The sequence below is a fragment of the Homo sapiens genome, chromosome 3 (assembly GCF_000001405.40).
Source record: "Homo sapiens chromosome 3, GRCh38.p14 Primary Assembly".
Taxonomy (NCBI): Eukaryota; Metazoa; Chordata; class Mammalia; order Primates; family Hominidae; genus Homo; species Homo sapiens.
In genome coordinates, this window is record NC_000003.12 from 197261207 (window position 1) to 197277525 (window position 16319).

At 38.4% G+C, this 16319-nt stretch overlaps 1 protein-coding gene across 37 annotated transcripts in view; it reads right to left on the minus strand.

Annotated features, from left to right (window-relative positions):
• The window catches only part of DLG1 (discs large MAGUK scaffold protein 1), a 256762-nt gene that overhangs the window by 218647 nt on the left and 21796 nt on the right, over positions 1 to 16319 (minus strand). The gene's annotated exons all lie outside the window — the stretch shown is intronic.

The following is a 16319-nucleotide window of genomic DNA, read 5'->3' on the forward strand; positions in this document are numbered from 1 at the left end:
CAGGGGACATGGCAGAGGGATATGCAACTGGCTTTCAGTATCATAAGCTTCCAGCCACACTCCCCTATACAAATGCCATAGTGAAGTTAGCTACATGTGGTGGCCTGCGCCTGTAGTCCTAGCTACTTGGGAGGCTGAAACTGGACAATGGCTTGAGCCCAGGAGTTTGAGGATGCAGTGAGCTGTAATTGCAGCACTGCACTCCAGCCTGGGCAACAGGGTGAGATCCTGTCTGTAAAAACCTTTAAAATCCAAGAAATTTTCTAACAAATTTTTAATGCATAATAAGGAAGAGTATTATCTGCAATTTTTGTCCACAAAGTTTCCTCACAGTTTACAGATATTATGAATGACCTCAAGTTCAAACAACTGAACTGTTCCTACTTGCCTCTTATACCCCATTCCTCCTCCTAACATTTCAAATACACATGGACTGCACTAACAACTTTCAGACTAAACCACATTTCACTGTTAAGCGTTATGAAAAGGAGTTAATACATAGATACCATTTGGTAGAACCTATCAAATAGTAAGCATTATCAATGTTGTTATTACTATTATTAGTATGTATCAAATTACAGCCTTTTATTTAAAGCCTAACAGGGTATACTTGAGACAGGCCCAATGGGACTTTACCTTACTTTATCTAATGGGGCTGTTGTGTGAGGATTAAATAATATACACAGGGCACTTAGAATAATGCTGACTTGTTAGGTCAATAGTGGCAATAAATAGTGCAACAGTGCTCAGTAAATGCCAGCTACAGCTATAGATCTATTGTGGTATAATATGAAATATATTCGGTCTTTGTTTCTGTCAGAGTGCCTAAAACTCTTGGAAATTCCTAAGTAATGGGAAGGTCTTCTTTTGTTCATGACAAGCCCTTTGGATCACAGCTAATGCTAATGAGGTAACTTAAAGTGAGACCCCTAGAAAGCCTCAGGATGAGGCTCATCACCAGAAAGACCACGGGATTAGAGGATTAGAGGGTTAGAGGGCTGGAACTTTCAGCTCCACCCACCAACCTCCAGGAAAGGGGCAGGGGTTGGGGGCTGGAGATCAAGCTCTATAAAAACTCTTAACAACATGTGATGTGCTTTTGGGTTGGCAAAGGCAAGCTGGGAAGGCTGAGGACTCCAACTCTACCAGGATAGAAGCTCCTGCACTTGGGACCCTTCCAGACCTTGCCCTATGTATCTCTTTTTCTGGCTGTTCATCTGTATCCTTTATAACATCTTTTATAATAAACTAGTAAACGCATTTCCCTGAGTTCTGTAAGCCATCCTAGCAAATTAACCAAACCCAAGGAAGGGGTTGTGTGAACCCCAATTTAAAACTAGTCAGTCAGAAGCATAGGTCACAATCTACTATTTCCATCTAAATGGGGGCAGTCTTGTGGGGCTGAGCCCCCAACCTGTGGGATCTGACACTATACTTCAGAGACTACTACTATCTCCAAGTAGACACTGCCAGAACTGTATTTACGTAGAGACTACTACTACCTCCAAGCAGATAGTGTCAGAATTGAATTATAGGACACCCAGTAGGTGTCCACTGGAAAAGCTTCACCAAAAACCTCCTCACACATCTAGTCAGCACAGAAGTGTGCTGTGTTGAGAGCAGAGGGAAAAAATGGTTTTTCTCCTCTCAGACCTAAATACATATGTATGTAGCTATGTAAATGTCATCATGGGCCAACACATCCCTTATCCCATGCAGGATATAGCCTGGAAATTACATGCTCTGTTGAGTACTCCCTTTTCCCCACCCCACCCCTGCAATTATCATTTGCTCCCAACATGAAAGAGTAAAGCTCATATAAGGCTCAAGGCTCATAACTCCCTAAATAAAGTTTATCATTTTTAAGCAGAATACTGAAAACAATGGAAGTGATATCTAAGTACTGACTAGGCATTGCATTTTGCGAAGAAAAATAAGGAGGTATGTAAAACCCTTTACCTGGTTGCTCTCTTAGTATTCTGAAGTTTCTCTTGTGAAATTTTTATCACATCTAGAGTAGTCTAGCCCAGAGAGGGCAGGCATCCCTAAGTTTGGCAGACTTCATAATAGAAAAGGCTGAAAATCACTACGGCAAGTTAGAAATATCATTCAGCCTGTGTAACTTAAGCAGTCATTTTCTTCGGGGGGGTGGGAGGAGGGTCTCAACTTCCTCTTTTGTAAAATAAAAAAACTCAATGACTCCTAAGAGTCCTTGAATTTATACCATGCCTATGTTTCAGTTTTTAAATCCGTTGGATTCTAAGGTCCAACAGGACAAGACTCAAGAATGTCTCATGAGGCTGGGCATGGTAGCTCACACCTGTAATCCCAGCACTTTGGGAGGCCAAGGTGGGAGAATCACTTGAGGTCCGGAGTTCGAGACCAGCCTGGCCAACATGGTGAAATCCCATCTCTACTACAAATACAAAAATTAGCCAGGCGTGGTGGCGCATGCCTGTAATCCCAGCTACTCGGGAGGCTGAGGTGGGAGAATCACTTGAACACAGGAGGTGGACACTGCAGTGAGCCGAGATCTCACCACTGCACTCCAGGCTGGGCGACAAAGTGGGACTCCATCTCAAAAGAAAAAGAAAAAAAAGAAAAGAAATGTCTCAAATACCTACCACTTTATCCCCATCATCTTGGGGGATAGCAGGGTGACCACAATGTTTGCTGAATTAATGAGTGGCCTTTCTAATATTTAAACTATAGGTGATTACAAAATTGAAAACAGCCTGAAACAATCCTGAAAATTAGACATTCCATTTTCCCAGTAAAAATAGAAGTTTGCCAACTCAATTACAAACCTGTAAGAATAAGATGAAATAGTCAAATATCCAAATTAATCAGTTAACATATAATTACTTAACAACACATTAAAATAGTATGTCTAATATATTATTCCAGTCACATTTCAAAGAACAAATTTTAGTTAAACTCCTCACATTCATCTCCGATGTCTAGGGTCATCATAACCACAACCACTTTTTAATGATCTAATCTCTGTGACCTCAAACATCAGTTTTATACGGTTTAAGTTGTTTGAGATATGGCCCTTTCTGAACTACAACGTCACTTGACCATTTATCCCTAATTACTACTACAGATTGGGTATCCCTAATCCAAAAATCCACAATCCAAATGCTCCAAAATCCAAAATCTTTTAAGTGCCAGCATAACACTCAAAGACAATACTCGTTGGAGCATTTCAGATTTTGTTATCTTTTGTTTTTTGAGATGGAGTTTCACTCTTGTTACCCAGGCTGGAGTCCAATGGCACAATCTCAACTTACTGCAACCTTTGCCTCCCAGGTTCAAGCGATGATTCTCCTGCCTCAGCCTCCCGAGTAGCTGGGATTACAGATGCCTGCCACCACGCCCAGCTAATTTTTGTATCTTTAGTAGAGACGGGGTTTTGACATGTTGGCCAGGCTGGTCTCAAACTCCTGACCTCAGGCGATCCACCTGCCTCGGCCTCCCAAAGTGCTGGGATTACAAGGGTGAGCCACTGTGCCTAGCCACGTTCCAGATTTTGAATTTTCAGATCAGGGATATTCAACCAACAAGTATAATGCAAATATCAAAATCCAAATAAATCCAAAATCCAAAACGCTTCTGGTCCCAAGTATTTTGGATAAGGAACACTCAACTTGTAGTGCTCATTCACAGAAGAGGAAGCCACTTTCCCCTGTACTGTAGGCGTGTATTTATAACCTTCATGATGTAACTAACCCCTTACTATATTATTTTTTAATATACCTAATAATCCTTCAAAAAAGCTTGCATAGATCTAATACTTACAGGTTTTAAGGCTGTACTCAGGGAATGATTATTCAATTTGTGTTAAATTCTACACTAACTGCATCTTCTGTAAGTATCTGTAAGTACCCAACTGGCACTGAGTAAGGTACATTTCAAGCCTATGTGTTCTCTTCAGATGGTCATTTGCTGTTAAAAGTAATTTAGAAATCACCCTGTAATATGAGCTACTTTAGAAGGACTTGAAATATAAGCCTTTTGGGATGGCAACACTTCACCTAATAGGCACATAAGATAATTAACAGTATTTTAGAATACCAATGGCTTTCCATAAACAAGCAATTGCTGCCAACCATAATGGAATAAAAAAAAAGACTGACTTTCAGACACTGGACCCTGTGAGAAGAGAAACTAATGAGGTGAGTCCTGTAAATGCCCAGAAAAAGTTTCCTGGCTGTAGCAGAAGGGGGAAACTCAACGAAACCCAGCAGCCTTAAGTTGAGGAGAAAGCGTTGAGAATAAACAGAGCTAAAACTCACAGGTAAGAGTACCAGAAAGGAGAGAGCGGGACAGAAAAAGCTCCAGAGATCTGCAGAGTTCCCCTCGAGTCTTCAGATTAGTTTTGATCAGTACATGCATGTAAGGAAACTTCAAGGTGAGGAAAAAATCTTAGAAAGCAGCAAATGGAACAAAACCCAGAGCTCACGCAAGGCCAAGAATAATGAAAACTCATAATATACTGGGCAGTGGGGATAGCCTTCTACAACCAAATGTTGCTCAGTCCCACTGAAAAAGCTTAAAAGCAGCCAGGCGCGGTGGCTCACACCTGTAATCCCAGCACTCTGGGAGGCCAAGGAGAGTGGATCACGAGGTCAGGAACTCAAGACCAGCCTGACCAACATGGTGAAACCCCGTCTCTACCAAAAATACAAAAATTAGCCAGGCGTGGTGGCACATGCCTGTAATCCCAGCTACTCAGGAGGCTGAGGTAGGAGAATCACTTGAACCCAGGAAGCGGAGGTTGCAGTGAGCCGAGATCATGCCACGGCACTCCAGCCTGGGCAACGGGGCAAGACTCCGTCTCAAAAACAAACAAAAAAGCAGTCTGAATGGCATCAAACTCTTTCCAAGTCATTTAACTACATCCCAAAACAAAGCTCAAGAATATTTAAAAGAATAAAAAAATATCTAGGCCCCCAAAAGGTAAAATTCACAACGTCTGCCAAATTCATCCAAATTATCAAGCATGTAAAGAAGCAAGGAAACACGATCCAGAGAAGAGAAAAAAAATCAATCAATAAAAACTGACCCAGAAATGACACATAATAGAATCAGTAGACAAAAACATTTTAAAAGTTACTTTAACTCTGTCCCTTATGTTTATGAAGACAGAGAAGGATAGAGTGTGTTAATTAGACAAAAATAAAAACGAAACTATCGAGACCAACCTGGGCAATCCAGCAAGACCCCATCTCTGCCAAAAAATTAAAAAAAAAAATTGCCCAGCCTGGTGGTATACATGTGTAGCCCCAGGTACTTGGGGAGGCTGAGGCAGCAGGACTGCTTGAAGCCAGGAGGCTGAGGATGCAGTGGGCCATGACCACATCACTGCACTGCAGCCTGGGCGACGCAGCAAGACCCTGTCTCCAAAAAGAAGGAGAGGGAGAGGAGAAGAGAAGAGAAACTAAATCAAGCTTCTAGAGGTAAACTGTCTGAAATAAAAAACTGACTGAGATTAATAGTATACTAGATACTTGAGAAGATTAATGAACTTGAAGACATAGCAACAGCAATTGTCTAAAATTTAACATACCAACGAAAAAGACTGAAAAAAGATTAATCATATCAGTGAACTGCAGACAAAGTCAACCAAACCAATATACAAGTACTGGAATCCCTGAAAGCAAAGGGGAAGGAAGAGAAAAAATATTTGCAGAAATAATTGGTGAAAAACGTCTAAAGTAGGTAAAAACTATAAACCCACAGATCCAAGAAACTCAATGAATCCCAGGCACAAGAAAGGTAAAGAAAACTGTAACTATAAACAGTACATGTGAGTGACAAGCACCAAATTCAAGACAGAGGTTAATTCTGGGGAACAAGGCAGGAGAACGTGATTACAGTGGAAAACACAAGAGACTTCAGCTATACTTACACTATGTTATCTTCTTAAGGTAGTAGTAAATACATGGATATTTATAATATTCACTACAGTTTCTCCATGATTAAAATATTTTTTTAAAAAATAACACAAAATGAAGGAAAACCAACAGGTCAAATAGTTGCCAAGAAGATAAAAAATTTTCAAAAGCAGAGTAGAGAGTAGCAAATGCCACCAAAAAATCAGATAACATATGCGAACAGCTTCTGTTTTGCCCTTGGATCCTTTTCTCTTTTGGAATCTCACTCTCCCTTCATACAATGTCTATAATCTCTTTTTCCATCTTGGGCCTCTGTTCCCTTCTTCACTTTATCTTGTAAATATAATATGTTCACAGAGGCCATTAGGAGAAAGACAGGGGGAGAAAGCACTTCTTAGTAGGACCCTATAGCATTCCTTCTCTTCTTAGCTAAGCTTCTTGAAAACGTAGTTTGCCTTTTTTTCTTCCCATTCCCAATATTCTGTAACCCAGATTCTGACCCTCCTTCTCCACAGTAACTGTTCTCTTTTTTCCTTTATTTACCTTAAAAAAAATTATCTAACTACACAGGTAATTCAGGCACACCTTAAACATACTTACAAAGACAGATGCATAATGCTGAAGTCTTTTTTTATATTCTTTTCCCGAGATAACCTCTTTTAACCATTTGGTATGTATTTGTTCAGCTAATCCTATATGTTTATTATTACTTTGGGTCCTACTGAGAAGTACTTTTTTCTGTTTGTCTGTTTTTCTAATGGAATCTTTGAACATATTTACAGGATAAAATAAAGAGGGGAACAGAGGCCCAAGACAGAGAAAGAGGTTATAGATATTCCATAATGAAAAAGGACAGTGGGATTCTAAAAGAAAAAAGGATTAAGAGCATAACAGAGCTGTTAGTATTTATTCTCTGATATGACTTTCACATAATTGAAAACATATAAAGTTAGGAAATTTTGCAATAAACATGTATCACTTTGGAAATCCAAAAAACAGGAGAGGTGAGGAGGTTTAGGAGCACATGAGATATCACTGCTCTAATACTAAAAATAGTAATAAGCACAGATACAGATATAGAGCAATCAAGATTATTTAAATGATGAGTTACTGAAAATGTCACATAATCAAAACTCATAATTCAAAACTAATTGGGGGTGTCTTCTAGGAACACATAAGTCTAACCAATGTGACATACTTAAGCTTTCACATAGCCTTTCATTTTCTCAGTAACTGTGTAAAGTTTTGCTGAGTTTTCTCCTAGATTAACAGCTTTTTTTTTGGCATAATATGACAGTTGTTCCACTTCTCTTATAACATTTCTTTTTTTGGAGACAGGGTCTTGATCCGTCGCCCAGGCTGGAATGCAGTGGACTGATCACAGCTCACTGCAGCCTTGACCTCCTGGGCTCAAGCAATTCTCCCACCTCATCCTCCCACGTAGCTGGGACTACAGGCATGAAGGCACCAACCACGCCTAATTTTTTTTTTTTGTAGGGATGGGGTCTCCCTATGCTGCCCAGGCTGATCTATACTAAATTTATAGAAAAATGTTTTTCTTTCTTCAGTAATAAATTAACCTTGGCTTACTGTAACCTTTTTACTTTATAAATTAAATTTTTTAACTTTTTGACTCTTTCACCTTAACATTTAGCTTAAAACACAAATACACTGTATAGAGGTACAAAATTTTTTCTTTCTTTATATTCTGATTCTATAAGCTTTTTTCTATTTTTTAATTTTTTTTTTTACTGTTTAAATACAAACACACACTTTTAAATACTGTTAAAAACAAACACACACACACCCGTTAACTTAAGCCTACCCAAGGCCAGAATCATCAGTATCACTGGACAGTACCACTGAAAGGTCTTCAGAGGCAATAGCATGCATGGAGCTATCGCCACCTACGAAAACAATGTCTTCTTCTGGAATACCTCCTGAAGGGCCTGCCTGAGGCCGTTTTACACTTTACTTTTTTCTAAAATAAGTAGAAGTGCACTCTATAAAATAACTACTAAAAGTACAGTAGATAAACTAGTAACATAATTGTTAATATTTATCAAGTATTATGTACTGTACCTAATTATACGTGCTATGCTTTTATGACTGGCAGAACAGGTTTATTTACACCAGCATCACCACAAACACTTGATATACGTCATGCTACAATGTTATGACAGCAAAGATGTCACTAGGAGATATAAATTTCTCAGCTTGATTATAACCTTAAGGGATCCCTACTTAACATGGTCTGTGGCTGGCCAAAACATCATCATACCACATATTACTGTATTTCTATAGCTTTTTTAAAAAAATAAACGTTGCCTGTTACATTTCTATCTCTATTAAAATTAGTTCTTTCTCTCCTTATTTTAACTTTATTGCAGTATTTTCCTTTGTCTAGGTAACAAGTCCAATTGCCAAGAAAGTTACTAAACAAAAATGGAAACATCAGTCTTGAAGCCTGAAGTTCTGAATTCTAATCAGTTTTTCTATAGGTTAATACTGCAACGTTGGGCAGTACCAATATCCCTGAATGACAGTTTGATCAATTCTAAAGTAAACACAGTATAAGCTCCACGTATTAAGAACCAAAATCTGGCTCACCTCGTGTATGTTAGGAGGCTATAGCAAGAATGAATTCATGCTCCTCTAACATCCCAAATTATTACAATGTATGTGATGTGCCTTTTAAAACTATGCTATTTGAAAAATAAGGTTATTATTTTAATCCGTTCCTGTGGAACACGTGAGTTTAAGAAAGGAAGACAAAGCATATTGTATTCATTTTAAAATATTAATATTGTAAACTATTAATACAATATTTTGCATTAATATTTTAAAATGAATACAATATGTGCTTTCTTCTCACGCGATATTTCTCAAATTTTATTTTACCAGTTCTGGGGCAAAAGGCTAAAGTTGGAAGAATGTGTCACCTGCCTGTCCACTTTCTTACCTCTCAAAAATAACACCTCAAAGAAAAAGCAACCCCTAGGAATAGAAAAATGGAAACCATCGTTATGCGTGGATTCTAGTTCAGGAGCAGTGAAAACTCAAAATAAACTTGGGAAAATTGTTGGAAGGCAAGGACATGCTCAAAGACTAGTAAAGCATATCCTAAGAAAACACAGATACTCCTTCAAGTGATTCGTCTAGTCAAATATGAAGTAATATGAGCACCCAAACTTAAATGTATGTAAACATTTAGTAAATAAAAATTTCTCGGTATACAGTGATAACTTTGTAAAGAGAGAGATCAAGAAAAAGGGGGAACTTAGCAACCTCTGGAGGGGATTATCACACAAGCTACTCAAATAACTGATCATTAAAAGAAAGTAATGTAAACTTTAGCCTGTCTTTTTAGAAGGAACAGAAGTTCATCCCTAGTTGATGAAGAAAAAGAGTGTTATAGAAGAATGCCAACTAATAACTACAAACAGAATGATTAAATTAGGGAGAAAAATAACATTTTGAAACCTCAAATGTAGTGATTTGGCAATGATCACCAATGGGGGGAAACTGACTCACTACAAGGTGCCAAAGTACAACCCCATACACACTTCACAATATCAACAAGAAAAACGTACCTTTCCCGTGGAAGATCTGGAGGTCCCCACCTTTACGCAATCCAACTCAGCACCACAAGAGCAACAACCTGATATTGTGAGCCTCCTGATGATGCAATATGAAATACAACACTGTGTATCACTGTGAGGTCTGCTTACCAAAAACGAGTCTCATCAACCTTTACACCTAACTTCCTCTTACCAGAAATACAAGGATTAGTGGAATGAGTTAAATAACATAAGGAAACAAATGAGACAAATAAAGAATGTGTGATAGTCTATAAAACAACTGGCATGGTCTCTTCAAAAAGGTAATGTCATTTAAAGGGGGGGAAAAGAAGATAAGGAAGACTATTCTATCAGATTACAAAAGACTAGAGACACTGTACCAGATTTGGTATGTGTATTCCCAACCCATTCCAACAGTCACCCCCAGATCTTCACACCTACCTTTCATCCTGAGCAGCCCCAGGAACACTTCATGCCTGTGGCCCCCAGTCCACATCTCCTCCTCTCACCCCCTCACTTGGGGCTTTCCTGATAAATCACCTACACTGACAAATCCACAACCCTAAAGTATGGGGGAACTGCTGCCCACTAGAAGCCAGTAGATAAATTCTTTCTCTTTCCTTGCAGAGTCCTAACATGCAGTACAAATGGCTTCTCAGGGATGCAATACCAAGGATACAAAAATCAGTCACACTTAGTGGCAGGAAGCATCCTTGTATTAGTTTTTCCCCTTCCTATACTATCTTCACACTTTCCCTCACTTCTGCTCTCTAGGAATGAACTCTCTAAATAAATTAATAGCACCTAAGCCCTCTGCCTCAGGTTCTGCTTTTAGGAAAACCCAGTTAAAAACAGACACCTAACAATCAAATGCATAAATGGCATGTGTACTGACACCTAACAATCAAATGCATAAATGGTATGTATTTGATTTATCTGCTTTATCTGATTTTTTTCAAGTCCCACAAAATAGACTGGGGACAATTTTGAATAGAGATTGGAGAGAAAACTGAACAATTATTGCTAATTTTCTCAGATGTGGTAATGGTACTAAGATAACACAGAAGAATATCTAACTATTCTTACTCTTACGAGATGCGTGCTGAAGTTTTAATAGTTTAAGTGCATGATGTCTACGACTGATTTTCAAATAGTTCCAAAAAATACACACATACAGGAAAAGCAAGCACAATCTTGTCTGTGAGAAAGACTAGGTGAAGGCAAAAAACTGTACCCAGAGGATACGAGCCACCTAAGAATACACAAAATGCACACACCTCAGACATCTACCAGCGACTTTAGTTTATGGGAGTTTTATGATCCACACTCCTCTACAACTGGTGCTACTATAAGTTCTCATCCAATTTCAGATAGCTCCCCCAGCTAACACATCACAGTAACTCACAAGCTGCAACTCTTTGCAACACACTCCTATAAGCAAAGCTGAGTTTTTTTCCAAGGTAAGATGCCAAATTGATTGTAGTATTCACATATTTATTCACCACTTAACATGCATAAACTGGGCACAGTGGCTCACGCCTATAAACTCAGCTACTTGGGAGGCTGAGGCAGAGGATAGCTTGAGCCCGTTAGTTCAAGGGTGCAGTCAGCTATGATCACACCACCTCACACTAGCCTGAAGAACAAAGCAAGACCTCCTCTAAGGAAAAAAAAAAGAAAAAAAAAAGCATAAAACTGTGCTGTTGTTTTTATTAGGTTTTAATCTCTTTTAATATGTCACTCACAAAGTTTTAAGTGTTTGGTCCCTGCCCTCATTTTTGAAATAACACCTGTGGTTTTCATTGTGCCATTTTTCATAGTGTGGTGATTTTTAGGAAAGTTATCTGTTGTTACAGCAGACCTGAATGTAAAAGAATGTTCAATGCAACACTAATCAAAACTGGAAACAATCCACATGACCATCAATGGCAGAATGTGTAAATATATTCTGGTATATCATACAATGGAATATCATACAACAGTAAGGATGAAAAAACTTTACCTACATAGATGAAATGCACAAATATAAGAAAAAAGAAGCACACAAGGGGGTATATACACTGTGTAAGTCTCTTTATATGCAATTTAAAAGAACGCAAAACTAATCTATGATGTTGGAAATTTGGATGGTCCTCTGAGGAAGAGGGGATAGGTAGTAAATAGGGAGAGTACAAGGAAGACTTCTGGGGTACTGGTATTTTTCTTTTTTAAACTGAGATAAAATGGACATGCTATAAAATTCACCAAATTTTAAAGTGTACAATTCAGTGATTTTTGATATTTTCATAGACTTGTACAACTACCATCACTATCTAATTCCAGAACCTGTTAGCAGTCATTCCATGTTCTTTTTCTTGACCTGGTATATTCACAATGCAGTAATTAATCAACCTATTCCTTTATTATTTGTGTATCTTTATGTAAGAATATTATACAGTATTTCAGTAAATTTTTTGTCAATGTTTAGAGGACTTCAGATTAAACCTGGTACACTGAATATATGTGTGTGTGTGTGTGTGTGTGTATGTGTGTGTATATATATATATTTTTTTCTTTATTTTTATTTTTATTTTTTTTTGAGACAGTGTCTTGCTCTGCCAGCCAGGCTGGAAGACAGTGATGTGATCTCGGCTCACTGCAACCTCTGCTTCCCAGGCCTCCTGCCTCAGCCTCCCAAGTAGCTGGGATTACAGGTGCCCGCCACAACAACCGGCTAATTTTTGTATTTTTAGCAGAGATGGGGTTTCACCATGTTGGCCAGGCTGGTTTCGAACTCCTGACCTCAAGTGATCTGCCCGCCTCTGCCTCCCAAAGTGCTGGGATTACAGGCGTGAGCCACCGCACCCGGCTGAATATATACTTTTAACTCTACTGCCTCCTAAAACTCCACTCAAATTAAAGCAGATGGCTTATTTTAAAATATTAAACCACAAGGTCAAAGAGAAAGGGAAAAGTATCCCTTAACACCATTCAGTCAGAAAACTCCCCTCCCAATAAGATAAACACTGAAGGGCTGAAAGGGGGGACTTGTAAATAACAGGCACAACTTTTAAAAAGCTGTATGCAAAAATTAACATAAAAAAATCAGTAGTATTTCTATAGACCAACACCAAACAATCCAAAAAAGAAATCAGGAATACAATCACATTTATAATAGCTACCAAAAAAAAAAAAAAAACCAAAACAAACCTAGGAATAAATTTAACCAAAGTAGTAAAAGATCTCAACAATGAAAACTCTAGAACACTGCTAAGACAAAGTGAAGAGGACACAAAAAAAATGGAAAGATATCCCATGTTCATAGATTGGAAAAACTAATATTGTTAAAATGTCCATACTAACCAAAGCAATATACAGATTCAATGCAATCCCTAATAAAATACCAGTGACATTCTTCATAGAAATAGAAAAAACAAGCCTAAAATTCATATACAATCATAAAACACTCCGAATACCCAGAACAATCCTGAGCAGAAATAATAAAACTGGAGGCATCACATTACCTGACCTACTACAAAGCTACAGTCACCAAGTGAGCATGGTACTGATGTAAAAACACACACAGACCAACGGAACACAACAGAGAACACAGAAATAAATCCACACATTTAAGCCAACTCATTTTTGAAAAAGAAGCCAAAAACACACAATGGGAAAAGGACAGTCTCTTCGATAAATGGTGCTGGGAAAATCTGGATATCCATATGTAGAATGAATCTAGACTCCCATTACTCACAATATGAAAACGTAACAAAAAACAAATCAAAATAGATTAAAGACTTAAATCTAAGACCTGAAAAGATACAATACGACACGACACGACACGACACGATACGATACGAAAACATTGGGGAAATGCTTCAGGATGTTGGTCAGGGCAAGTATTTTTTAGGTAATGCTTCAAAAGCACAGGCAACAAAAGCAAAAATAGGTAAATGAGATAACATCGAGCTAAAAAGATCCTGTACAGCAAAGGAAACGACCAACAGAGTGATGAAACAACTTACAGAATGGGAGAAAATATCTGCAATTTATCTGACAAGTATTAATAACCAGAATATATAAGGAGCAACAAAAAAGCAAGTATCTGATTTTGAAATGCACAAATGATCAGATTAGACATTTCTCAGAAGACATACAAATGGTTAATTGGTATATGAAAAAATGTTCAACATTACTAATAATACTCAGGGAAATGGAAATCAAAACCATAATAAGCTGGGCACGGTGGCTCACGCCTGTAATCCCAGCACATGGGAGGCCGAGGCAGGCAGATCACGAGGTCAGGACTTCAAGACCAGCTCAGCCAGCATAGTGAAACCCTGTGTCTACTAAAAATATTTAAAAAATTAGCCGGGCATGGCAGAGCACACTTGTAGTCCCAGCTACTCAGGTGGCTGAGGCAGAAGAATTGCTTGGACCTGGGAGGTGGAGCTTGCAGTGAGCAAAGATCACGCCACTGCACCCCAGCCTGGGCGACAGAGCAAGACTCTGTCTCAAAAAAAAAAAAAAGAAAAAAGATATTCTCTTACCCCACTTAATATGGCTATTATCAAAAAGACCATAAATAACAGATTCTGGCTACGGATGTAAAGAAAGGGACACTCTGGTACACTGCTGATGGGAATATAAATTAGTACAGCTATTACGGAAAACAGCATGGTCATTTCTCAACCACCATTTAATCCAGCACTCTCACTGCGAGGTATACACCCAAAAGAAAACAAACCAGTATATCAAAGAGAGATCTACATGCCCATGTTTATCGCACCACTATTCACCACTGCCACGATAGGGAATTAGCCTAAGTGTCCCTCAACAGACGAATAGATAAATAAAATGTAGCATATATAGACAATAGAATATTATTTAGCCATAACACAGCATGAAGTCCTGTCATCTGCAGCATCATGGATGAGCCTGAAGGATATCTTATGAGAAATAAGCCAGACAAAGAAAGGCAAATATCACATGTTGTCACTCATATGTGGAAGCTAAAAAGCTGATCCCATGGAGTTGGAGAGTAGAATGGTAGTTTATCAGAGGCTGAGAAGGGTACAGTGAAGGAGGGGAGGAAGACAAGTTGGTTAATGGGTACAAAAATACAATTAGAAGTGTTCAATAGCACAGTAGGTGACTATAGGTAACAACAATTTATTGTATATTTCAAAATAGCTAGAAGAGAAAATCTGGAATATTCTCAACACAAAGAAATGATAAATGCTTGAGATGATGGATATCCCAATTACCCTGATTTGATCATTAAACATGGTATGCATGTATCAAAATACCACAAGCACCATATAAATATGTATAATTATTTATCAATTTTAAAAGAGTACTATTGAAAGCAGACTATGTGTATATTCTTCCAGACATGCCTAACCTCATGGTTTTCTTTTCACACACAGTCATACTATGCCTCCTGACATGTAACCTGCTTTCACTCATTTAATAACACATAATGGATACACAGAATATATTTTGCCTGCTACTTTATCTTGCATTAAATGGCTCTACCATAATGTGTTTATCCGATCTCTTACCGATAATCTTTTATATCCCTTGTTGGTTTCTACTAATTAAGGCTGCAGTGAGCATCCCTGTACAAATACCTTCAATAATCTGTGGTGAATCTGGAGCATATGCTGGATCAAACGATACGAATATAAAGTTGTCTTTCAAATTAGTTGCACTACTGTATTCTCCCTTACTAACTGTACAGGAGCTTCTGTTTCCTCCTATTTATTTAATCTCTGACAATCAAATTTGTTAAAAATATCCTTGCTGTCAATGTAATTTGCATTTTTAAGTGTGGCTGAGCATTTCTTCATAGGCTTATTGGCCCACATTTATTTCTTCTTCTTCAAACTACAATACTCACACTGTTAAGTCAGTTTCCTATTGAACACGGGCCTTTTTCTTAGTTTCTATAAGAAGTTTCTTAAGTTGAAAGGACTGGAAATTAAAATTAATCCTTTTTCATATATGTGACAAATTTTCATCCTAATATATAATTTATCTTTGTATTATATCTTTCAAGATTCAGAAGTTCTACAATCAAAATTTGAAGTCAAAGTCCACAAAGAAATTCTATAAAGTCAGCAGCATTTTTAACCTTTTAATTTTTGTGGTGTTTTTTGGTCATGGTTAGAAAAGCCTTCCTTATTAAAAATCAAAATTTTTATTTTTTTTAATTTTTAACTTTTTTTTTCTTGTTTGGAGACAGGGTCTCGCTCTGTCGCCCAGGCTGGAGTGCGGTGGTACGATCTTGGCTCACTCCAGCCTTGACCTCCAGGACTCAAGCGATCTTCCCACCTCAGCCTCCTGAGTAGCTGGGACCACAGGAGGGAGCCACTACACCCAGCTAATTTTTGCATTTTTTGTAGAGATGGAGTTTCACCATGTTTCCCAGGCTGGTTTCGAACTTCTGAGCTTAAGCGATCTGCCCAGCTTGGCCTCCCAAAGTGCTGGAATTACAGGCATGAGCCACTGCGCCCAGCCCCAAAATCTTACTTTTATGGTTTTTTTTTTTTTAACCTTTGAATCTCTAGTCTAGTTGAAATGTATTGTGATGTTAGGAGTAGGGTGCATCCTTTTCTACTGAAATGTCCCATTAAATCAGGAAATTCCTCCTACTCTTTCATCTTGCCTTTTTTTCCAGAGGGAGTCTCACCCTGTCACCCAGGCTGGAGTGCAGTGGTACGATCTTGCCTTCCTGGGTTCTTTGGCAACCTCCGCTTCCTAGGTTCATGCGATTCTCACGTCTCTGCCTCCCAAGCAGCTGGAACCACAGGCACGCACCACCACACCTGGCTAATTTTTGTATTTTTAGTAG